Source organism: Homo sapiens, chromosome 11 (assembly GCF_000001405.40).
Source record: "Homo sapiens chromosome 11, GRCh38.p14 Primary Assembly".
Lineage (NCBI taxonomy): Eukaryota > Metazoa > Chordata > Mammalia > Primates > Hominidae > Homo > Homo sapiens.
The window spans coordinates 10,554,480-10,579,311 of NC_000011.10; the positions used below are offsets into that span (position 1 = coordinate 10,554,480).

The window sequence follows — 24,832 nt, forward strand, 5'->3', positions numbered from 1 at the left end:
AACATTTATAACAAACCTGTAAATGTGTTACTCTGAGTTCTGTGAGCAGCTCCAGCAAATTAATTGAACCCAAAGAGGGGGTCATGAGAACCCCTACTTAAAGCGGGTTGTCGGGAGTTCTGGAGGCCCAGTCTTGTGACTGGTGTCTGTGGAGTGGGAGGCAGTTTTGGGGACTGAGCCCTCACCCTGTGGGATCTGACGCTACCTCCAGGTAGATAGTGTCAGAATTTAATTAGAGGACACCCAGCTGGTGTCTGCGGCTTGTTGTGTGGGGAAAACCCCCTTACCTTTTGTCATTGAGTTCTTTTGTTATTGAGTTGATGACTGTTGTGGTGGTGTGAGAGCAGAGGTAAAACAAGGCTCGGGAGTTTTTCTGAAACAGAGGCTTAATTTTTTTTTTTTCAAGCATGATATTTATTTTTTGTCTTTTTTTATTATTATACTTTAAGTTCTAGGGTACATGTGCACAATGTGCAGGTTTGTTACATATGTATACATGTGCCATGTTGGTGTGCTGCACCCATTAACTTGTCATTTACATTAGGTATATGTCCTAATGCTATCCCTCCCCCCTCCCCCCACCCCACGACAGGCCCGGTGTGTGATGTTCCCTACCCTGTGTCCAAGTGTTCTCATTGTTCAATTCCCACCTATGACTGAGAACATGTGGTGTTTGGTTTTCTGTCCTTGTGATAGTTTGCTCAGAATGATGGTTTCCAGCTTCATCCATGTCCCTACAAAGGACATGAACTCATCCTTTTTTATGGCTGCATAGTATTCCATGGTACCTGTGTGCCACATTTTCTTAATCCAGTCTATATTGACGGACATTTGGGTTGGTTCCAACTCTTTGCTATCTACAACTAGAAATACCATTTGACCCAGCCATCCCATTACTGGGTATATACCCAAAAGATTATAAATCATGCTGCTATAAAGACACATGCACACGTATGTTTATTGTGGCACCATTCATAATAGTAAAACATTTTCTTTTTGGTGTGAGAGACCCTCCCATTCCTTAGTAAAAACGTATTTACTTGCATGTTATTATTGTCCTTACAAACTTGTTTTTCCCTAGAGCAATTGATTTTGCTTTAGGTACTAGCTGAAGGTCTAGAGGCAATACAATTTAGGATCCTTGTCTAGAAATCAATATGATTCAATTCTTTTCAAGCCAAATGATATCTGTAGACTCCAGTTGTGTGCAAGCCCTGTGTGGAGCCTCAAGTCATCTGCGTTAGTCCAGCTTCCTATTCTTGGAAATCAGCTTTGCTTGATTGGACCTATATTGGCATGTTAATGTTTGATGGTGGCCTGGCCTTTATAAAAGCATACAATTTTGCAGATGACTCCTTCTCAGGATAGAGTGTCTTTGCTCAAAGGAGTGGATTTATTCTGTGTGAGCCAGGGAGGCAGGCATGAAGAAGGGGCATTCTGAAAGGGCAGGGAAGATCCTTTGCACCAGCTGAAAATGCCATCACGTGGCTCTCCACCTGCCTCTTTTGAAGACTGGCTGTGGCGAGGTGGACTGTAGGTCTGAAGTGGGGAGATCTCTTGCATTCTTCCAATTTCTCTTTGTTCAGTGGAGAATAAAGAAAATTTAAATAAGGAGGAGATTTCTAGACCAAGCCCTAACTTTAGCTACCTGTGACATTGGTAGCTTCATTTTATTTACTCTGTGAATGAAGGGTTTAGAGGAAATTATTCTGGATCCTTCTGAGCCTTATATTTTCTGACCCTATGAACTGGCTCAGGTAGGTCTTTGTTGAGGCTGGTGTCTACATCAATGAGGAGGCAGTTCTCAAAGTTCTTTAGTGGTTCTCTTTTTCTCCTTGTCATTGCCAACGGATTTAAGATAGATTCTGTGAAGTTGACACAGGAGTCCTAAGTTGTTTTCCTTACTTCACCCCTGTTGTTTGTGTTAAGTGTCCAATCTCAAGCTTGCATATTGGAATAGTTTACATTTCTATATTGTCATTTGCAAGAGAAGCACTGTGGAGTAGGGAAAGGAGCATGGGCTTTGCAGTCACTCTGACCTTTACCATTTAACTAGACCTGTGACCTCAGAAAGTGATTTAACTTCTCTAAACATCCAGTTTTCTAATTAATAAAAATGGCAGTAATTATCCTCACCTCTCAGGGAAAGTGTAGAGATTAAATGAGGCAACATGTAAAATGACTGTCACTTAGTAGATGCTCCATAAATCAGCCAGCCCACCCTTCCTTCCTTCCTTCCTTCCTTCCTTCCTTCCTTCCTTCCTTCCTTCCTTCCATAATCATGGAAGTTACATTCTTATCAGTATGTTTGCACATGATATTTGGGCTATTGAGTGATTTTATGTGGCTGGGCAGGGTTTTCTCCTCCCCACTTCCTCCTCCTGGATACGGCACAAACCTGTTTAACAGGAGAAGGTGGTAGCATTCTAATATGTAGTAGATGCCCACAAGATGGGAGATGTGGTGTGGGAGATCTGTTTTTTTTTTTTCAGCTAACACACAGAGGGAAGATCACTACTTAGGCGCTTTCCCTCTTTTCTTCTTTACTCCCTGAGAAATGGATGAAGCTGATAAAGCTTAAGGACTGACAAACCAGTTTCAAACTCATAGACCTACTGGGGCAGGCAGGTGATATATATGAGGGACGTGGGCTGGGTGTGAAGAAAAGGCCACAGTGTTACAAAGTTCATAGGAAAGGGCACCTTTACTTTGGCATGAGTGTGCAACAGAGAGTCATGAGGACTGTGGTGAAACAAAAAGAGCAGACCCCATTGAAAGGGGACAGCTGCTACTCAGTATCAGATAATGATTGCTATGAGGGAACATGGGTTCTTTACTTCCAGATCTTTCCATTTTTAGAGGGAACCCAGAAATGTAACCATGTGAAATCTCTTGATTTTTAATGCCTGGAAATGAAATCAAATTTTAAGATTATACTCCGTGGGCCAACCGGAAAAGATTATGCCAGCAGGTTGTGGCATCTGGGCCGAAGGAACCACGGAGCTGTGGGGTCACTGGTGAGGGGAAGAAGACAATTAGCAGTCTAAGCGGGAGGGAAAGAGAAAACTAGAGAAGCAGGGCGGTCAAAAGTGAGACGAATGAGCCATCCTGGATCTCTGGCTCCCTGGTGAATTCTGAAATGGATGGAAATGGAGGGCCAGCATCTCTAGTAAAGGACTGTTTAATGTGTATGTACTTGGCCAACTCAAAATAAAATGTTTGGAGCATGAATAGCCCCATATGATATATGCTGTTTGGTTGACATATGCTTGTATTTTAACAACCAACATTGTCCCTTTTATTTTTGCAAACAATATGATATGATCTGGTCCTCACTTTAATTTTACATGAAAGGTATAATGCATCTACGTAAATAAGAAAGCAAAGAAGTTTTCTAAATGCTTTAATTTTTTGTCACAAATATTTCTGCATCTCTCAGTCCCTTCTTGTTGGAAAAAGGAGGGCTAGTGATACATTTGTTAATGGCACTTTTAAAATGTGCTTTGGTATATAGAGGTAACAATGTACTTCTTAGGTATGTTAATAATAAATTAAGGTTATAATGGTTGCCATATTAGAGAAAATGAATAAGATTAGTCTCAGCAAAAATAAAAATTAGTTTGGAAGTAGATAAGCTAGAAATATCAAAACTGAAAAAAATAGCTTCCCAGATAGCGTTCTACTATGTGCAATTTTTTGAGGAATAATATTCAATTACAGAGTGTAATACCTTGCACAGCACTTGACATATAGTAGCTATTCAGCAAATGTTTGTTGAATTTTATTACTTTTTAAACAAATTACTGAGTAATCTTCCTTAGTAATCATTTCTGTAACTCAGATAAAAATAGAAATTTATAAGAGTTTTTATTTTTGTTACTTGTAAAAGTATATTTCCTAGAGAAAATATCAGCAGTGGTAGAGACCAGAAAAAGTAAGTGTGTGTGTTCTAAACAGTGATTCCAACTCAATGTGTTCAGAGAAAACACTTTGACCCTGTCTGTGTTTACAGTCCCTGCTGACAGTGTACTGTCGTATCCTCAGCCTTGTTCTATTTCTTTATTTTAGCTTTACAGAGATTAGGTCTCAAGTTATGAGAATCTCCATGGCTTTCAGGGGCTAAACTTTTCTGCCATTCTTTTGCTCTTACCGGGCTCAGAAGGACATGTCAGGTGGGATACGTGTTTCTCTTTCAGAGCTGAAGAAAGGGTCTGAGCTGCGGAATCAGTAGAGAAAGCCTTGGTCTCAGTGACTCCTTGGCTTTCAACCCACCTAGCCTCAGACAGCCAGGAGGCCTTTTTACCACTGGATACTGATGAGATGTTTTAGGTCCTTGCACTTTGCAAAACTCCTTTCTCCCAGTGGGATATTATTAGGACATAGCCAGGCTAGAAAGGCCGTGGGAAGCTTTGGAGGTAGGAGGATAGGATCCAGACAGGGTTACAATAAGGAGAAGGGCATTCTCTTTGGTGCACTCCATAGTCCAATGGCAGTCCTGAGCTGATTCCAGTTAGGAACCAAGGGTGGACTTTCTTCTTTGGTTCTTTGGCCCTTTTGATTTCCCCAGCTGGGGCAGGGTAAGGAGCATGAAAGAAACCAGCCTCAGGTGTGTCTCCTCATTTCTGTCTCATCTAAACTTCAGCTTCCAGGCATCGCACGGTAGTTTTGCTTGGACTCTTGGACTCTTCTGGGTTTTTATCAGTTTTCTTTGATTCCTCATTAGGGTTGCTATCATTGGCCTTCTCCTCCTTTACTACTTTGGTTTCGATCATTTCCTTCTGCTGATTCTTGTTTGTAAAAGGGAAGGCCTTCACATACCTTTAGGCAGAAACATGAAATTAAAGTGAGAGACTCTCACACATAACGATAGATAACACTTTTTGGCCATGGTACATATTGGCACAGTACACTGGATACCTTTATTTCAGAGTGATGCCAGCACATGCATGCTCTAATACATTAAGACATCACCACCTTAATGGATTCATTTAAATTGGACAATATGTTTGCAGGCCAGACTTTAGGCTGACCACATAACTCTTCCAACAAAAACAAAGAACCAAAAATCAAATAAAGCATATAAATTTTCCCCAGATGTCAATTTTTTTTAATTTCTTGATTTTCAAAGGACAGTCATTGACTGATGGCTGGACGACATGCATGTCCTGAAATAGAAAAGATTGGGCTGAAGGGAAAGAGATGAGATGAGGGAGAAATTTATATCAGAGGACTGCTATCTCCATTTTGATCAGCAAAATGCCAACAGTGACCCTGAAAAAGCACAGGATAGAAACATGACAAAGATTACAAGACTAGCAGTGCACCAACAACCCTACCTTTTGACATAGCAAAATCCAAGACCAGCTGCAGCACCAAAGAAGAGGAGAGCAAGCACTAGCAGAGCCGTGGGGACACCTGCAAGGAACAGAGACAAGGCCTGTTGGTCCTTCACTTAAACATTGTGTGTAATGCTCATTGCATGATCCAGGTGATTGAGACAGTAGACAGTACAGGAGAAAAACCTTCTCTGTAGCCCTTTATGATATTGGGCCCACACCAGCTTCTTTGCTTCATGCTTGTAGAATCATTGGCCTTGCTTCTCACACTCTCAATTCTATCAGTTGCAATATGACAGAGTTCATTTCTCCTCCATGGCCTTGAGACCTACTCTAGTCAACAAGCCTGCCTGAGAAAGAGATGACTAGAATAAAGTCATAGGCCTTTAGGGTATATATTTTAAAAAGAACTTATGCATAGGAACAGATAGTGATTTATTTTTAAAAGTCTTGAGTTTTCAACAGTGAAATTCTTTTATACTTACACTTTTTAGCTTAATCACTAAGGTTCTTTACAGCTCTCAGATTCTATGACTTCATGAAAGTTGAGTTTGTGTTAAGCTTTTATTAGTATTTGACAGGTCCTGAGCGCCTCATCTAAAGACAGGCAGGATTCTATGAATTATCTGTTATACATGAACATACATACACACGTAACATAGACACAGAAACCATTTACCTCCAAACCCAGCAGCTTCATTCTTGAATGCTGCTTTATTTTCAACAAATGGTTCAGTTTCTGTAGACATGGTGCTAGTTTCCATAAAAACTTCTGTGACACAAATCAATTTTTTTCTCCGTGGAATAGAAGTGGAAGCTGGAGCAGGAGGAGTAGTAGTAGGGGCAGGTATTGTAGAGTAAGGGGATGCCACCGAGTAGGTACTGTCACTGACAATAAATTCTGTTGTTTGTGTTGCAGTTTGAGTGTTGAATATGGGATCTTTGGTGGTGATAATTTCTGGAATGCACGAGTTAGTCCAAGTATCTGTTGGGATAGGGAAACATGGAATAAAAGTATTGCAACAGCCTCCTAACTGTTCTTCTTGCCTCTAGTCTTACTACCTCCAAACCCCTTATACCGCAGCTGGAATGGTCTTTAAAAAGCAAATCTAACCATATCACTTTCTTCCTTAGAAGCCTTCAGTGGCTATCTTTGTTGTATGGCCTACAAGGCCTTCTGTGATTTGGCCCCTGCTAACATGCCAGCCTCATCTGCTCTTTTTCTCTCATTGCCCCTGCCATACTGAAATTACTTGAAATTCCTTGATACACTTTATCTTACATCCAAGCCTTGCACCACGATGCTTTATTCACCTTTATGACTCTTTGCCTCTCTTTATTTAGCTTACTCTGACTCATCCCTCAGGTCTCAGATTGACCCTGTCTTTCTCAGGCAGACTTGTTGACTTGATTGGCATATGTTCTTGTACTTCCTTGTCACAGTTCTCATTACACTGTTCCCCACTGGACTGCAAGCTCTCTGGCAGCAGAAACCCCGTCTGTCTTGGTCAGCATGGTATGAGCACTGTGTGTGGTACATAGCACATGCTCAATAACTATTTGATGAATAGGGAAGGAAGGAAAAGGGAAAGGAAGGAAAGTATAGATTGGAAGACCAAATATACACATGTGGTGTCACTTCAGGACAAAGATATGCTAAGACCTGATATTTCTGGGCTCATTAAAAAAAGAAGTGAACAAAAAGGGACCAGGAGAGGGATAAGGGTTTGCTTTCCAATCTGTTGCATGTGCTAGAGAGGAAACACTTGTTAAAGCATCTTAATCTGAGTTGACCATGGCAGTAAGTGTTTAAATAGGTATCTCATTGAACAATATTACTAAACCCTTGTTTACACAGGAGGAAACTGAAGTTTAGAGAAATTGAATAACTCGCCCAAAGTCACAGAGCTAGTAAATGGCAGAGCCATGCAATATATTATAATATAAATTTGCATCTATTTTAAGTCCCTAATTATTTGTGGCAGTGGGTAGCATCAGCTGGGGTTGGGGGGTGGGCTAGCAGAGGGATAGCATTAGAAGAAATACCTAACGTAGGTGACGGGTTGATGGGTGCAGCAAACCACCATGGCACATGTATACCTATGTAACAAACCTGCACATTTTGCACGTGTATCCCAGAACTTAAAGTATAATAAAAATAAAATAATAAAATAAAATTATCTCTGGAAAAAAAGAAAAGAAATACATGGGATGGGAGTACAAGTTAAATGAAACCATGAGGAAATAGACAAATCCAAGTCCTCTTCCTCTGGCTCTTCTCTGTTTAGTCAGAGGGCTGGGTATCATCACATTGCCAGCTGGCAGGAAGGCAGTTAAAAAGCAAAGCCATTTGACAGGCATGGGCTGGCTATGAGGTATGCAGGCATATGTAGCTCACCAATTCCCCAGCCAGTGATGATAGACCAAAGAGGCAGAGAAGGGAAGGAAGATGGGAAATACACTGTTAGGAGAAGCCCTATGTTTCAGTCTTGATTCTGCCACTAACTGACCGTAGGACCTTGAACAAGCTAAGCCCGTGTTCTGAACTGTAGTTGTTTCATCCATGAAGTGAGGGAACTGGTCAAAGTTTCTCCATGGGCCTTTTCTGTGCCAAAGCCCTCTGGATCAGGGAACTACTTGGATCCTATATTGCCTTTCTGGGACAGTTTTTGCTAATATTGGCTGGTGCACATTTATCTCTCGGATCTTCGAGAATGATCTTGAAATCTATCCTGTGTATGACCTCTCAGCCACCTAACCTTCAGAAGGTCAGATAGATGAGTATGTGTGAAAAGTAATAATCAGACAGGGGTCCTTATGACAAACTGAGAGCAAGTGAGTATTTAGTAAAAGAAAAACTTTAGGAGAAGTACTTAGGTGAAGCACTTGGGCTAAGGCAGCCAAGGTCTTCAAGCAAGGTTAGTGGGTGACTTCATGACCACGAACAAATCAGTGCTGCCCTCCAGGTGTCAATCTTTTCCTTCATAAAGTGGAGACTGGGTCTGGTTCTTAAAATTATAAAGGAATGTGGAACAGTGGAAAGAGTGCGGTTTCAGAGTTAGACCTGAGTCTGAACCTTTACAGTAATGAGACGTTAGACAAATGTGTTTACATCCTTTGAACTCGGTTTCTTTTTTTTTTTTTTTTTTTTTTTTTGAGACGGAGTCTCACTCTGTCGCCCAGGCTGGAGTGCAATGGCATGATCTTGGCTCACTGCAAGCTCCGCCTCCTGGGTTCATGCCATTCTCCTGCCTCAGCCTCCCGAGTAGCTGGGACTACAGGTGCCTGCCACCACGCCTGGCTAATTTTTTGTATTTTTAGTAGAGACGGGGTTTCACCGTGTTAGGATGGTCTCAATCTCCTGACCTTGTGATCTGCCCGCCTCGGCCTCCCAAAGTGCTGGGATTACAGGCATGAGCCACTGTGCCCGGCCTGAACTCGGTTTCTTTATTTGCAAAGTGGGGATGATAAAGCATATCTCATAGGGATCTGTAGATTCCATATAGGTGGAAGCAACCAACCTTGGATTGAAAATATTTGGGAAAAAAAGAAAAATAACAATACAACAATAAAAAAGCAAATAATACAGTACAATGACTGTTTACATAGCATCTACATTGTATTAGGTATTATAAGTAGTTTAGAGATGATTTAAAGTGTACAGGAGGATGTGTGTAGGTTATATGCAAATATGACCCCATTTTATATCAGGGACTTGGGCATCTGTAGATTTTTGTATATGATGGGGTGCCGGAACCAATCTCCCACTGACACTGAGGGACGACTGTGCATCACTTTGTCCATAATGGATGCATTACATACATCTGTACCTTTGTTCCTTCCCTTCTGCCTGCTTATCTTATAGGATGCAGGGATGGTGGCAGTGGTAATTGAGCCTCCTGAATGTCTTCTCGTGTGTTGCCATTCAGTTATATCTCTCCTAACTTTTTCCTTTGAGGGGCATATTGCCACCCCTAGCCTGGCCAGAGAGACAGTGTCGGGAGAATTAGATGGCCGTGGCTGTGATTGCTTCTGCTGCTGCTCAGGGTTACTCTTCCCAGACAGGTCTCAGAGTGAGAGATACCCAGAGAATGCCACGTGGAAAGGTTGCAGATCAGACTCACCAGATGAGTTGTAACAATAGGCTGCAAACTGTCGGCTCACTGGAACCTTCCAAATCAGGACACCCACCCCATTTTTCCCACACTTGGGGTTTGGGCTAATCCTAGAGATGACCACGAATCCATCTCCAACCCAGCCATAGCTGTAAAAGAATACACACTAGTTGAACAGAAAAATGATTAGAAGGCTTCATCTCTATTGCTGAACAAGAACACAGAGCTAAAAAAGAACTCCAGCAGTGACAGTGAAACCAGCTTTTTCTCACCTGCAAGTTTCAAAGCTAGCTTTCAAGGCTGTTTCAACTTGGTCCTTGCCGGCCAAACTTAGTCCCAGCAGCCTACAGGCCTCCTTAGCTTCTGTGAAATTCAGCTGCTGGTTCGCCTTTTTGCTCACAAGGGTGATCCCCATAATTCTGCATGACACCTGGATGGAAAGCTCTGCAAAGGAATCACATAGGTCCTCAGTTTGCTGCTGTCCTTGTTTCCAGCCCTTAGACTCTCCTTCCCAGCAGAGTATATCGTCCTGATGCGCAGGGAGGTCTATCTGGCTGGGACTGGGGTTTAGAATAACAGGACACAGACCAGGCATTTTCCACAAGGACCATCTGCTGGGCTAGATGGATGCTTGTTCTTGTCCAAGCTGTAAATGTCGCCCAATCAAAATCTATCCCATCCCACTGCATTAAGATGCCTTGCTCACCATATAGGGGCTTTGGCTACCTGTTGTTGGGGTGCAGTCTAAGGGATGCAGTTACTGCAAACCTTTCTGGAGTCTGTAAAATGAAGCATCTGAGACTTTGAGAAAGATAGAATTCAGGGCTCTAGTTCATAGAATAGTTAGCAATACCCCAAACCAATGTGGTTTGGGGACACTACTATTTGTGAGATGGGCTGAAAATGTCACACTTGTTATAAAAGAATGTGAGTGCTCTCAGTTCCAGGTCTTTTGGCCACTGGGGGACAGGCTTACTCAGAAGTTCCTGGAGGAGCTGGCAGTAAACTTTGAATGGCAGAAAAACTAAATGAAGAAAGCAGAATTTTAGAGTCAGACTTGGGCTTAGATCTAGCATATGTCATTTGCTAGCTCTGTGACCTTAGCCTAGATACTTCATCTCTTTAATCTTCAGCTCTTTGAGCCTCCTTGTTTATAAATTCAAGGGAGTAACAGTGTCTACTGAATAGGGTAGTGAAAGTTAAGTGAGTAAATTCTAATACAAATGTTTAGCATAGTGCCTGCCACATGGTAGGTGCTTAATAAATCCACATAACATTATCATTATCGTTAAAGCATTTTGGTTTTGGTCTGCTAATGATTGATTACCCCACAGAAGCTGAGGCTGTTGAATAGGTAAGATATGAATAATATTTCTACTCAAAATCTAATGGATTTGGGAATTCTTTTGAACCCTTTTCTCTGGGTTCTGGGATGTACAGACCTGTATAAAATTGCCAAGTTGTATTGTATTCAAATACATTATTCCTACTGGGCTTCATCCACAAACATCCATAAAAGGGCATTTAAATCTCTCAAGTAATTGCTTGTACGCAGCTCTGTGTATTGGATGCTCAGTCAAATGCTTTGACCACTTCCTAGGTTGATATCTAATGGAAGTTTCTTTTTGAAAACATGGAAGGAGCATTTCTAAGTCCTCCATATGAACCTTGCTGTGGTGGCAGATTAGGAGCACACACTCAATTATGCCTGATTCTAAAACCCCAGTTCCTCTTTTTTCCTTCTTCTTTCCCAAGAGATGGATCTTGCTATGTTGCCCAGGCTGGTCGTAAATTCCTGGGCTCAAGCAATCCTCCCACCTCAGCCTCCCTGAGTAGCTGGAACTACAGGTGTGCACCAGTATGGCCAAGCAAGAACCCCAGTTCTTTTTTTTTTTTTGAGACGGAGTTTCACTCTTGTTGCCCAGGCTGGAGTGCAATAGCGTGATCTCGGCTCACTGTAACCTCCACCTCCTGGGTTCAAGCGATTCTCCTGCCTCATTCTCCCAAGTAGCTGGGATTACAGGCATGTGCCACCAAACCTGGCTAATTTTGTACTTTTAGTAGAGACAGGGTTTCTCCATGTTGGTCAGGTTGGTCTTGAACTGCCGACCTCAGGTGATCCACCCACCTTGGCTTCCCAAAGTGCTGGGATTACAGGCGTGAGCCACTGTGCCTGGCCCTTTTTTTTTTCTTTTTTGAGACAGAGTCTCGTTCTGTCACCCAGGCTGCAGTGCAGTGGCGTGATCCATGCTCACTGCAACCTCTGCCTCCCGGGTCCAAGCAACTCTTGTGCTTCAGCCTCCTGACTAGCTGGGACTACAGACGCGAGACACCATGCCCAGCTAATTTTTGTATTTTTTGTAGAGATGGGGTTTCACCATGTTGGCCAGGCTGGTCTCAAACTCCTGACCTCAGGTGATCCACCCACCTCGGCCTCCTAAAGTGCTGAGATTACAGTCATGAACCACCGTGCCCAACCCGGCCCCCAGTTCTTAACAATGACACTGTTTTACCTTTCACAGTGCTATAAGGAAATGAACACACACAGACACACACACACCCCTAGGCTGAACTCCCTGAACACACCGTTTGCTCTGAAATTTGGCTCTTTTAGCTCATGAGCTTGCTATTGCTCAGGTCTCTTATAGCTACTTCTTTGGGAATGGATTGCAGAGGTTTATTTGTCACATTATCAATTGGTCTTACTACCCTCTCATCATATGTCATTTGTACTCTAAATACTATTATTTAGAGGAGTGATAGACTTATTCTAGGTGGATAGACTTAGCTTTGAATATTTTTTCTATTGTTAACTGGCTGTTGCGACATCAGGCAAGTCAGCATTCTCATCTGAAAATGGGGATGGATATATCTTCTTCACATGATTTTTATCAGAATTAAATTAGATAACTTGTACCTAGCAGAGGCGGGGCCCAGTAGGAAGTCAACAACATTAGTCATTTTATGCTTTCCTATTTCATTTAGGGATCAAAAGAGGGAGCTGGAATTTAAGGGAGTACTCCAGTAACTCCTTCCTTAAGATTTCTCAGGAAACAGCAAACATAGTAGAAATAGTGTATGCTTAGGAGTTAGATATAAGGATGTGGAATCAGATAATAGCATATGCTTAGGAATCAGATAGGGCTGAATTCAAACCCAATATTTATTATGTACTGCCTGCATGACATTGGGCAAGTCACTTCACCTATAAACTGTCTTTTTGAGAGGATTAAATGAAATTGTATATACACACCTAGCTCTGGATCACTATATACTTGGCCCTCAAATATAGTTCCCACCCCTATTCACTTACCTTCATCAACTACTTTATTCTGCAGTCATGGTTATGCTGACTTTTGGTTGTTTCCAAAAATGTAATTTCCCTAGAAAATCTTTTTCCCTTGCTGAGGATAGTCCAGAGTGTGATGGAGTCATTTTCAAAAAACAGTGTCCAATAGTTTGAATAATGGCAGCATTGTGGGGAAAAATAGTCTCCCCAGAGGATTTCAAAGAGGACCAAACTTATTTGAAAGTAACAGTATTTTAAAAAACTAATCATATAACTCTGACCTTTCTTATAAAATGTAATGCAACAACATATAAATCAACTCTGAATGTCTGTTTCTAGCATATTTTATATCTCAGGTCATCTTCCAGCATAGGAACACACATTTTCCTATTAAAGTGCTCAGATTTTCATTTGCCCAGAGCTGCAATGAGTGATTTGTGGTTACAATTTTTTTGCCTACAGTGCAAAATGAGGTTTCCATTTAGGCATCTCAAAAGCCCAGCGATCACTTTAAGTCATTCCTTTAGTAGACAGCCGATGGCTTAATTTTCAAACTTATATTTTTACAGATTTTTTTCAGCTAATTTGCTATTTACTGAATATTTTTTTAAAACATTGCACCTCATTCATGGTATGATAAAATCAAAATTAAAATAATTATGCTAACACTCCCAAAAAACATAAAAACAGGCCAATTTTAGTGAAAGTTACCCATTATTCCCAAGCTTAGTGATTGCTTTAAATTTTTTACAATCATGGTTTGCGTCTTCAATGAAATACTTAAAAAAAAATTATTACTTCTGGATGCAGTGGCTCATGCCTGCAATCCCAGTACTTTGGTAGGCTGAGGCAGGACGATCACTTGAAGCCAGGAGTTCAAGACCAGGCTGGGCAACAAAGCGAGATCCCATTGCTACAAAAAATTTAAATACCACCCATACAAAAAAGAGTAAAAATCAAATGGTTTCTCTTCAGTGTTTTATTTCAAAATGTCCTCATTAAAAATATTCCATAACCAAAAGTAAAAGTCCAGATGATACAAACGTAAATGTCAATCATTTTGGTGAAGTTGACAATATGGTGGTACATTTTTGGCAGAGCAGTACCACCAATTAGACCTGCTGTTGACACTGAGGGTCACCCTCATTCCCAGAAATCCATAGTCAACAGCTTAGGAGGCTTAGGACTGAAGCCTTGCTTCAGTTTGGAAATCTGGTGAGAAACCTACCTTCTGCACGCAAAGAGCCTTGGACCAGGAGCCTCGTGGTCCAGATGGAAGTGAGAAGCAACACCAGGCTGAAGCACCTGGCCATCGTGCCTACCCCTTCAGAGCCAGGGAAACACCTCAGATGGCCACTGGTGATATGAGAGGCAGATGCTCAATAACTAGTCCGGATGGAGAGTTCTGGAACTATGTTGAGGCTCACACTCACTGCTCCACTTCATAACCGAGACATCCGGATTTCCCTGCTTTCAAGCTTCTGACTTGTCAAGGTCACTGGGGGAAATGAATGACGTCCCTTGAACGCCCAGGCTGTACTTTGTGGATGGCCTTCTGGAAAATTTAGCTAATGCTGACTCAGAAAACACACAAATGAGGAAGGCAGATAGCACAGTGTGAACTGCTAAAGGTTCTCCCAATTCCCATATTCCCTGCTGTTCCTCCTCCCCCAGCAGCTCAGTTCTCACACCATTCACTGTTACTGCCTGTGGAGTCCATCGTTTATGTACTCCTAGAAACATCTCTGTCCCTAAAGGAGACTGAGCATAGGTTGTGCCTCTTTTCCTCCCGCAATCAGTGATTTTTCCACCCAGCTGTTCGGCCTTGTGATCTGCAGGGTATGATGCTGAAGCTCATGAAAGTAAATGTCCACTTAAATACTGAGTCTAGAACCTTCTGCCTTCCTTTGAGTCTCCTTTTACACATTTGAAATCTCTACACCACTACAGGTGATTCCTTTTTCAAAGAAACCAGGCACATATAAACATTCACATTTACATAACACAAGTAGGAGGGCAATTTACAAAATTAAACATTTTACACTTTCCCCAAGGATTTTTAACTTTACAATAGTAATCACCACAGGGGTCTTTTATGAAATAACTTTCTCTTAATAACTCCTTTCATATTCTGGTAGGCCAGAATTCAAGTCAGACTCCACCTTTGTTGTTCGATGAACATGAGGTTTATCTGTGCTGTGTACCAGCAGAGTGTATTCTATGTTTTTCCAGCCGGATTTTCAGTGGTTTTTGCTTCATGGTAATTATGGAGTTCTGGCTTGTAAGCAATGTCTTGGGCAAAGGTTTATGAGATTTTTCCAAAATGAATGTCTTTTATAGGAAAAGTATATGGATAACGAATTCTTTTTTATATAAGTGGTACTGGTCATAAAGTTAGATATTTGTGTGAAAAATATCAATAACAAAAAGAGAATCTGCTCTAAACAAATGCAGGGAACTTCTAAAAGACCAGGGTAACAGCCCTTACACATCTCCAATACCGACCTCATGATCTGGGTGAGCACAAGCCCCAGTTTCTCAGAAACATGCATGACTCTATCATCACAGCACCAGGGAGGCAGACAGGCAGAGTCCTGGCCTCTTCATGATTATTCTTAAAGCCTAACACCATGCCCGAAAGAGAGCTAGCTTTCTAGCATTTGTTCACTTATTGCAAAAAGAACGAAGGAAGACAGGAAGGGGAAGAATGAATCAGGGAAGGCAAGGCTTTGTGTCAAGGAGGAGAATGAGAGTCACAGTGATCACCAGCCATAGAATTTCTGGAATACCAATGAAGAGGCCTTAGAAAGGTCGCTGTGCCAGCTTTCTATTGCTGTCCAACAAATTACCATAGACTTAGCGGCTTAAACAGTACTCATTTATCATTTAACAGCTTCTATATGTCAGAGGTCTGAGTGGGCTCAGTTGGGTCCTCTGCCCTGGGTCTCACGAAACTGACATTAAGGTGCTGGCTGGGCTGGGCTCTTACCCAGAGGCTCTGGGGAAGAATCCACTTCGAAGCACATTTGGGTTGTTGGCAGAATTCATTTCTTTGAGGTTGTGGGAATGAGGTCCCTGTTTCCTTGCAGGGTGTCAGCCAGGGACCATTCTCTTCTCCTAGAGCCCTTCCATTTTCAAAGCAGCAATGACACACTGAGTCCTTCTCATACTTCTAGTCTCTCTTTCACTTCTACAGTTAGCCAGAGAAAGTTCTCTGCTCTTTTAAGAGACACGGTCTTGCTCTGTTGGCTGGAGCGCAGTGGCGCCATCGTGACTCACTGCAGCATCTACCTCCTGGGCTCAAGCAGAGCTCTCTACTTTTTTTTTTTTTTTTTTTTTTTTTGAGACAGAGTCTCACTCTGTTGCCCAGGCTGGAGTGCAGTGGCGTGATCTCAGCTCACTGCAAGCTCTGCCTCCTGGGTTCATGCCATTCCTTGCCTCAGCCTCCCGAGTATCTGGGACTACAGGCGCCCGCCACCACACCCAGCTAATTTTTTGTATTTTTGGTAGAGGCAGGGTTTCACTGTGTTAGCCAGGATGGTCTCGATCTCCTGACCTCATGATCCGCCCGCCTCAGCCTCCCAAATGCTGGGATTACAGGCGTGAGCCACCGCGCCCGGCGAGCTGTCTGCTTTTAAGGGCTCATGGGCCCACCTGGATAACCTCCCTATCTTAAGGTCAACTGTACCATCTAATGTAACACAACAAAGCTCCATACCCCTGGAGCTCCTATTCAAAGGCTCCAGGGATTAGGGTGGGACATCTTTGGAGGGCTATTCTAGAAATTCTGCCTTCCACAGTCACTTAACCTTGATTTGATTCTGATCTGCTTTCTGAGAGAAACTTCCACATCCACTGTTTTCTGCGGCCCTTTGCATCCCTCTGGGAGATTCATTTGCATATAATCTTGCTTGTCCACATTTGAAGTGGATATTAGGGAGTATGCCTTCCTTGGGAATAGCACAGCTTTTGCAGTCTGCTTCCTGCCGGCATAAGCTAAGATCCCAAAAGTTTTCTTAATTTTAAAAAAATTTTATTTTTAATCAATACATAATTATACACATGTACATTTTGATGTTTCCATACAAACAAGATGTAGTGATCAGATCAGGCTAATTAGCATATCCATCATCTGAAACATTTATCCTTTGTGTTGGGGGTGTTCAATATCTTCTCTTCCAGCTATTTGAAAATATGTTATTGTTATCTATAGTCATCCTATAGTGCCATAAAACACTATAACTTGTTCCTCCTAATTTTATGTCCTTTAACAAATCTGTCTTTTCCTCCTCTCTTCCCTTTCCAGCCACTAGTATCCTCTATTCTGTTTTTTACTTCCATGAGATCTTTTGTTAGCTTCCATGAATTAGAACATGTGGTGTTAACTTTCTGTTCATGGCTTATTTTACTTCACATAATGACCTCCATTTCCATCTATGTTGCTGTGAATGCCAGGATTTCATTTTTTACGGCTGAATACTATTCCGTTGTGTATGTACACCATGTTTTCTTTATCCACTCATCTGTTGCTGGACACATTTTAATACCATATCTTGGCGATTGTGAATACTGCTGCAATAAACATGAGGGTGCAGGTATCTCTCTGATATATTTTCTTTCCTCCTCAAAGCTGTTTCCTCACCTGAACAATGAAAGGGGTTTTTAGTCCTGGCTTGTGTTTCTTTGTAAATTCCCTCACAAAGTTAGATTTCTGCTTCCATGTGCCAATAATCATACCCCAAATCCTTTCCCAGTCATAATTCTCAAGAAGTATTTCCTGTTTCTCAGCACCATACCCCTCAAATTTAGTGGTGAATACACTAAGTTCATTTGAACTCACAAAGGGCCACATCCTTAATCTAGCCTTTGCCATAAGGCTGAGTCGATCTGTTCAACTGAGAAATTTTATTGGCTCCCACTCAAAGCTCTTTTTAGTCTGTCTGGGATTTAGAAGTGGTCAGGTTTTCTCACCCTTCAATCTTTCACATTTCTGAATACTCTATATTCTTTTTCATTTTTGCTCCCACATAGCCAATTATTTCTCCTGCCATACCTTGCCAAAGGCAGCCAAGAGAAGTTTCCATACCCCAACGCTGATTCTTTCCACCACTTATAAATAGGCTAACCATGAGATGCTTTCCAAGTTATCACAGGTAAGACTTTACTATCTTACCATCTTTCTAGCAGTTTTGTTTCTTGCCATGTAACTGGTAAGCTAGAACCTCATATTTTGGAATTTTGCTATTAAAGTACACAATTTCTGGTTCAAATGTATGCATTAGGGTAGGCTAACTGCTATAAACATCCTGGAATCTCTGTGGCTTAATATACTAAAATCTTATTTCTTATTCATGTCACAGTTCAATACTGGGAGTGCTCATTCAAAGACCCAGCTTCCGTCTAGTGGTTCTGCCATTTTCTCGGGTCTCAGTGTTCTCATCTGAATCCTCTGGCTTTGGTAGGCAGAGAAGGGAGTAAAAAAAGGTGTGAAGTATTGGGCAGGAGAGTTTATTTTTAGGGAACTAGATTTGGAAAGTCCACATTCCCCTGCAGCTAGCTGTAAGAAAGACAAAAATAGTTCAGCTGTGGAAATCAGGTTGGTTAAAAACTCAGCAGACTCAATCACAGCAAACTGTGTTAATTAAAAAAATCATAGACCAGGAAGATACAGGAAACCAGGATCAGGAATGGGGAAGGGAAGAGGAGGAACTGATCCAGCCCCTGTGAGGTAGCCCATAGTATAACGACCAAGGGTTGGGGACCTCTGACTTGGTTCTGGAATGCACTAATATATCCAAAGGCATCTAATTCTGGGTTGGGGTAAGACTGTAATTCAACTCCATAAAATGAGGAGGCATTTGGCTGCTGCCAGAGGTTTGGAAATGTGCTTTTATTTTCAAACTCAGGTATGTGACACTCTACAGTTCAATGCTAGCACACCTGTGTGAGGCTTAACAACATGAGGAACTGATAGCCAGTGATACACAAATCCAGCACTTCCTCTCCATTTACTCTGTCAGGCTGTATATGGGGAGCAACACATATGGCTTTGTGGCAGCCAGAAAGTGAAGGTCTTTTTAGGAGGTGACATCAACAATGACACAAACACATCACTCTGCAACTGAAGGCAGGGAACCAGACTCCTAGGGCTAAGCAGAGATGTCAGACTTCAGAGGCATTTGGGGGACTCTTCAGATCCACATCCTCACTGAAAATCCAGGGCCTGTTTCTCTCCAGTTCACTACCGCTTGGGCAGCAGCTCCCACTGCTTCAGGCTGGTCTTTGCTTTCCAGAAAAGATGGACTCATGAGCACTTTTTCAGCCCCTGTATATATGGCTATTCTTATGCTCCCTTTTGGAGATGTCCTTTTCCTCGACCTCCCTTGCTTACAAATGGAATAGGGTGGGAGAGGGCCTGTGCCTGGAAGTACTCTTGCAGGCTTTTCTGTGGGGCAGCTGGAGGTGCAGGAGCTCTCCATAACTGCCTTCCTGGCCTTTGACTCATCCAGAAACAAAGGTAGGAAACTTGTGACCAAGTGAACAATGGGGCCAGCTGAGCCTGGCCCTGCTTTAAGGGAGGCAGAGATTGAACATTCCCCACCTGGAGTTCTGCTTCCACGGCCACTCTCTAGAACTCTATTTGCATCCTGTCTTTGGCTCTGAGGGCCTCATGTAGCTAAAGCTCCTTCAGTTGTATCCAGACCCCCTGGAAGAGGCCGGGCAAATCATCCACTTCTGCCCCCAGAGTCCCTCTGCCCTGCTCTGTAACTCTTTACCTTAATGGCACATCCTTGATCAACCCTGGCTTGGGCCTCAGTCATTTTCTAGCTACTGTAAAGGATGCCCCCTTCAATAAACATGCTATTTTAAAGTGGGGCATGCTTGGGGTGGGGGGTCTCTCTGAAGGAGTGACTGCATTGAGCCCAGTCCTTGAGCTTGGCAATGGTGTTGCTAGTCTGGTCTCATTCCTGCTCTCTCACAGAGTAGACTGAAAAACAGAATAAGCTGAGGTTAAGAAAGATGTTGCTTTTTGCATTGTGATGGTGCTGGTACTGAGAAGCATGCAGCATGTCAGCTGTCCCCAGGCTGCTCTCCACCACCTTAAATGTTTGCTTGTTCTTTTGAGCAACATTTAATGACACCCTCCCAAGCGTCAGCCACCATGCTAGGCACTTACCCAAGAGATGGGTAAGACATGGTTCTTGTCTTTGAGGAAAAATGCTAGGGGAGATGGATACATAAATAGGCCATGGTATACTATAGGTAAAGGTCAATAATAATAATGTTTAAAACGTGCCAGAAAGCACAGAGGAGTGTGTGACCTATTATGTTGTGTCTGGTGAGGAGTATGGAAGGAAGGTCATCAAAGCTGGTATGGAGGGGATAATTTTTGCACTCGGTCGAGAAGAGTGACCTGAAGAAAAGAGAAGAACAGCTGGAAAAAAAACTAGTGAGTGGAGGTCCAGCACTATGAGAGAAACTGTTTAGTTGGGGAGCCAGAGATGGAGTAGCTGATGGGCCACTTGGGGGAATGAGACTGAAATGTGAGGCTTCCAGCTAGGAGACCATCAGAAGAGTCAAGGAGAGCACAGCTCTGGAGCCAGCCTACCCTGGGGTTGAGCTCCAGCCCCATGATTTACTACCGGGGTGTCCTTGTCAAGTTACTTGTTCTTTTTGTGCTTCAGTTTCCTTATTTGAAAATGGGAAGGGTAATATCCACTTCGTATTTTTTTTTCTTTTTCTTCAGGACTTAAATGAATTCATACCTATGTAATACTGAGAACAGTGCTTGGCTCATAGTAAGTCGTATATGAGTTTTAGCAATGAAAGCAAACAATATCAATAACAAAACAAAAATGCAAAACAATGACAACAAAACCCACATGGAAATCAAACCTCTACAAAACTGATGAAGGCAGTGGCTGTAAAAGTGGGGAGAGAAGTCAAAATGGAGAGGGGATGTGCTCCTTCAGTGTTGTGCTAAATAACTGGGGATGCTCTGAAACACCCCTAATTATACTGGGGTTGGAAACCCCATTTGAACTGAAGCACTGAGGTGCAAGTTTACTCTTGCATGTGGTCACACACAGAGTAAGAGACTGAAGCAGAAAGCACATCTTCTCTCCTCATTCACCTGTGAGGTGGGTTAACTGTTTTCAAAGAGAGAATAGGGAATAGATTGTGCTGTACAGCAGCTCAGAGTTGGCATTTGAAATGGAGACTAGTAAGTCTGCCATTGAAGCCATGAGTTTTCTGTGTTTTTAAAACATCTTCAATCCATGTGGACAGCTCATTGAACAGGTGCCTGGTGACTGCCCCACACTGGTGAAAATCTGTGGGTTGGCTTGGCATGCATCTTATTTATCCAGAGGTACACACCCAGAGCACACTTTTGAAGGGTTGTTGGCTCTGTGCACAGGCATGTTGTGTGTGTGTACACAACAGTATGTGTGTATGTGTGGACAGATGCGTATATAATAATTCATATCTTCCCATTTCAAGCACTGAGCTAAATTCAGCCTATACTTTTTTTTTTTTTTCTGAGAAGCCTTTCCTACTTCTGTAAAAAGAAACTCTCATTCCAAAGGAAAGAATGGGAGGCTGAAGTTATTGAAAATGAGATGGGAAATGGGAAGATAGTCACTTTGCAACTCCAAATTCCAGGTCTGATGCTTAGGGTGTTAGTCATTAAGCAAATTCTTCCTGATAACCAATTACAGAGAGGAAAAAAGAGAGTAAGTTTTTTACTGCCCCCTACCTCCTCCTCCCCCGTGCCCCGCTCCTTACCCCCAACCACCAGTGAAGGTGTTTTAGTTCTCCCCAGCCACCTGAGCTAGGGGCAGGAGACCTTCCCTTCCAATAGAGTTCCTTGGTGAAGGTGACTTCTTCATCCACTGGATGCTTTCCCAGGGCAGTTTTGTTGATCCTCCAAGAACATCAAGTCACTGTGTATGAATAGCTCCCACAGAAGTGCCGAGTGTTAAAAGAACCCTTCCTCATGACCTGATGGGATGGGCGGCAGTGTGTCCACACTTGGGCCTGACGTTATACTTGGGGAAAGGGTGGTAGTCTGAGTGTCTCAGAGCAGGGCACTGGCTAGGTGTGAGGTTTCCTACTGCTCTGTAGGCTGCTCATGCTGGAGTCCTGAGCTCCACCAGGAGTCCCTCTGGGCTGCCGAGCAAGTGGATCTTCCAAGGGGCCCATCAGCCTGCTCTGCACAAGAGTTATAGGAATTGTAGAGCCCCAGCACAACAGTCAAGACCAGCATCACTGCAGCCATCATCCAGATCACTTGCCAGTGCTGACACAGTTTGGGATACATGACTTGTAAGAAATGGACCAATTCTTCAAGTTTGCTGTCAATGAAAAAAAATATGCAGAGGCTTTAGTATACTGGGCACACATATGATACACAGACCCACAGTTCTCTCTGCGGATAGCTTCCATGCTGTCTTGAGCAATAGTTCTCAAACTTAGCTGTGCCTAGATTGGGTTGGCAGCAATTGTTCAAAATACCCCAAGCATACTAAATGAGAATATCCAAAGTTATGGTCCAGGAATCATTGGCTAAATTTTCCCAGGTGATTTTGATTCCACCAGTCCACAGCCTTGAAGTTGAGAGCTACTTATCTAGATCATTCTACTTAATTGTTTGATCATCCATCCATACATGCCCTCATCTATTCACGGGGTGATTACTGATATCTGCACTCTCCCAAGCCCGGGGGTACAGGATTGGTTGGCCATGCATCTTTTTAGCACCTAGCTGCATTAATGATCAGTTCCAAGCTCTAACCTGTGCCTTGCCTCAGATGCGTAATTCATTGTTCTCAGTTCCACATCTAACTGTGTCCAGAGTAGAAGGACTGTGCTAAACTCTAAGCAGCTTGATATCCAGTGATAAATGACAAGGGACTAGATCAACCTCAAGAGTTCACTTCAAACCATCCAAGAGCAGGCAGAAGATTAGAAGCCTCTAGCAATGTCTGGGTGGTTTGTTCATGATGTTATCTCAACCTCATTAATATTTATTCTCTAATTTCTCCCTCTTCCTCCTCTTCTTCCTTCACTCTCTCCACACTTCTTTCTCTATCCCTTTCATCTCTCTCTTCCTCTCCATTTTTGCCCCTTTTCCCTCTTGATTCCTTCCCAACTGTCTTTCATTTTGTCCTCTCTCTCTCTCTGTGGTGTGGTAAAAAGACACCGGGCAGATGGCCTGCTTTGACAAGTTCATTCTAGAGCTCTCTGAAGAAGCCCTGAGCCCCTTCATTAAGCCAGGATTTCCTGATGTTTTTAACCTCTAACCCAATTTAAAAAATAATATGAAAAATGAGAATACTGAGGATTCCTGAACCAAGGAGGTGGGGAAAGTGATAGAAGTGCTTTCTGAAGATCCTGAGGCTCATACACACACAGCAATGACCAAGCCATTGGCTGAGAAGCGGAGAGCTCAAATTTTGAGGTAGCAGAAAATGCATGACTAACAAAGGATTGACAGACTCAATAAATGCCCTCCTTAGAAAGGGACCAGATGCTCAGAATGCCTGCCTTGGATGCTAGGGCCACAGAGAACATTGACAGGTTTCCGTTCCATGCGGGAACCCCATCAGATCATTTCAGTCACAATTAAGGAAAGCACGAAAGTGAACACATTCGCTGATTTGAAAATCATTGACTATTTTCACAACTGTTGGGAAGGCAGGGTTTAGAAGTAGAAGGTTATTTTCTCTCAGCCCTTTGTAGATTCTCTAGATTCTATTTAGACAGAGTTGGATGCTAAAATGGAGCCTTTGGGGCTGTATTTCCATCCTCCAAAACAAGGTGCCAGAGTGGCTTCTCCCTACTCTAACCCCACTCTTAAGTGTGGCTCTGGAGGAAGAGACCAAGATCTGTCTGTGTGACCTTAGCTGGTCACCCATGCCTGGCCTATAAAAGAGTTTAGAAATAGATTAGAAATAGAATTTCTTTAGAAGTCAATTTTTGGTTATAATAAGTAAACTTCTGTTTCCTGAGAGTTATTGGAAAAGTAAAGGAACCTAAATGTCCTCTTAACCCCATAGAACTGGTTTGAACAGCCGTTAGGAGAAAAGACAAAAGTTTTATCTTGTCCCTTATGAGTCTCACTTGTTCAATGTCAGAAGACTGTGCTTTCTGTTTTAATATGGTTAAAATATTGGGGTTTACCCAAAGTTTATTTAAACTGATCCTCAAGAGAGCAATATTTGTAACATAATTGTTATATATAACAGATACGTGACTCAGACAAAAATACTTTAATGTGTGATGTTGAATCTCTTAAGCGATCAGCAGCTGGGCTGAACCCAGTGTTTTAAAAATGCAATAAGTAGGACATGGAACTCTTAATAACCTCAAACCTTGCTTGTTAGTGAGGCACCAACATTTCAGGGAAGAAATCATGTTTGAGAGCAGGTGCATGATAAATGTTACAGGCACCATTGCCACTCACTGATGACCAGGAGCTGGACAGAAAGGAACCAAGCTAAGCCTTACTTCCCCTGGGGTTTCATGAAATGGGAGGGAGCTGACAATTGCCTGAGATTGAATTAGCTAGATAAGACATTGAGCCCCTTGCTTTGCAAACCAGACTGTTTATATTCCATGTACTCTCTCTCTGTTTATTTCTCTTTTGTTCTTTCTCAGTGTTTGGAAGTGTTAGAAGTTCCAGTCTGTCTCTGCTGTATTCACGGGTGCCAGAGGAAAGGCTTTTTGTCTAGGGCTTTGCTTGACTGCATTAAAGGGGAGGAAGGCAATGTGGTGGACTGAGAAATATCAGCAGAGAACCCTCAGGAGGGAGATGAGGCCTAAGGAGAACAGGATCTGGTTGCTTGGAGTAGGGATTGCACTTTAATTGTTAAACTTGGAGGTTCTTTCACTGGGGAGACAGTGTGTGATTTGTTTTCAGTGGAGAAGCATTTCTCCAGTTCTCCTAACGGCTCTTCCCCTGAACAATGGGGTCGACCAGCATGGGCTGAGACCTCTGACTTTAGTTGAATTCTCCACCAACTGGGCTCTATTGATAGCTCCTGTGTGCCTATCCATTTTGCTTCTAATCTTCACTTCATTACCTATTT

General features: G+C 42.6%; 2 protein-coding genes and 1 long non-coding RNA gene across 11 annotated transcripts in view; 1 reads left to right on the forward strand and 2 right to left on the reverse strand.

Annotated features, from left to right (window-relative positions):
- Nucleotides 1-24,832, forward strand: part of IRAG1-AS1 (IRAG1 antisense RNA 1) — a 58,697-nt gene that overhangs the window by 13,244 nt on the left and 20,621 nt on the right. The gene's annotated exons all lie outside the window — the stretch shown is intronic.
- LYVE1 (lymphatic vessel endothelial hyaluronan receptor 1) lies at nucleotides 2,487-14,186 on the reverse strand. Its single transcript, NM_006691.4, has 6 exons — nucleotides 13,969-14,186; nucleotides 9,724-9,895; nucleotides 9,461-9,600; nucleotides 6,016-6,321; nucleotides 5,337-5,415; nucleotides 2,487-4,818 (listed from the first exon to the last, which is right to left on the reverse strand). The coding sequence occupies exons 1-6, from the start codon at nucleotides 14,051-14,053 to the stop codon at nucleotides 4,632-4,634; spliced, it is 969 nt and encodes a 322-aa protein (NP_006682.2). The 5' UTR covers nucleotides 14,054-14,186; the 3' UTR covers nucleotides 2,487-4,631.
- Nucleotides 18,616-24,832, reverse strand: part of IRAG1 (inositol 1,4,5-triphosphate receptor associated 1) — a 120,661-nt gene continuing 114,444 nt past the window's right edge. For all 6 annotated transcript variants that reach the window (NM_001206881.2, NM_001206880.2, NM_130385.4 and 3 more), the window contains one exon: nucleotides 18,616-22,096. In NM_001206881.2, the coding sequence (NP_001193810.1) occupies nucleotides 21,853-22,096 (244 nt within the window). In that variant the 3' untranslated portion in view covers nucleotides 18,616-21,852. The remainder of the gene's footprint in view (nucleotides 22,097-24,832) is intronic.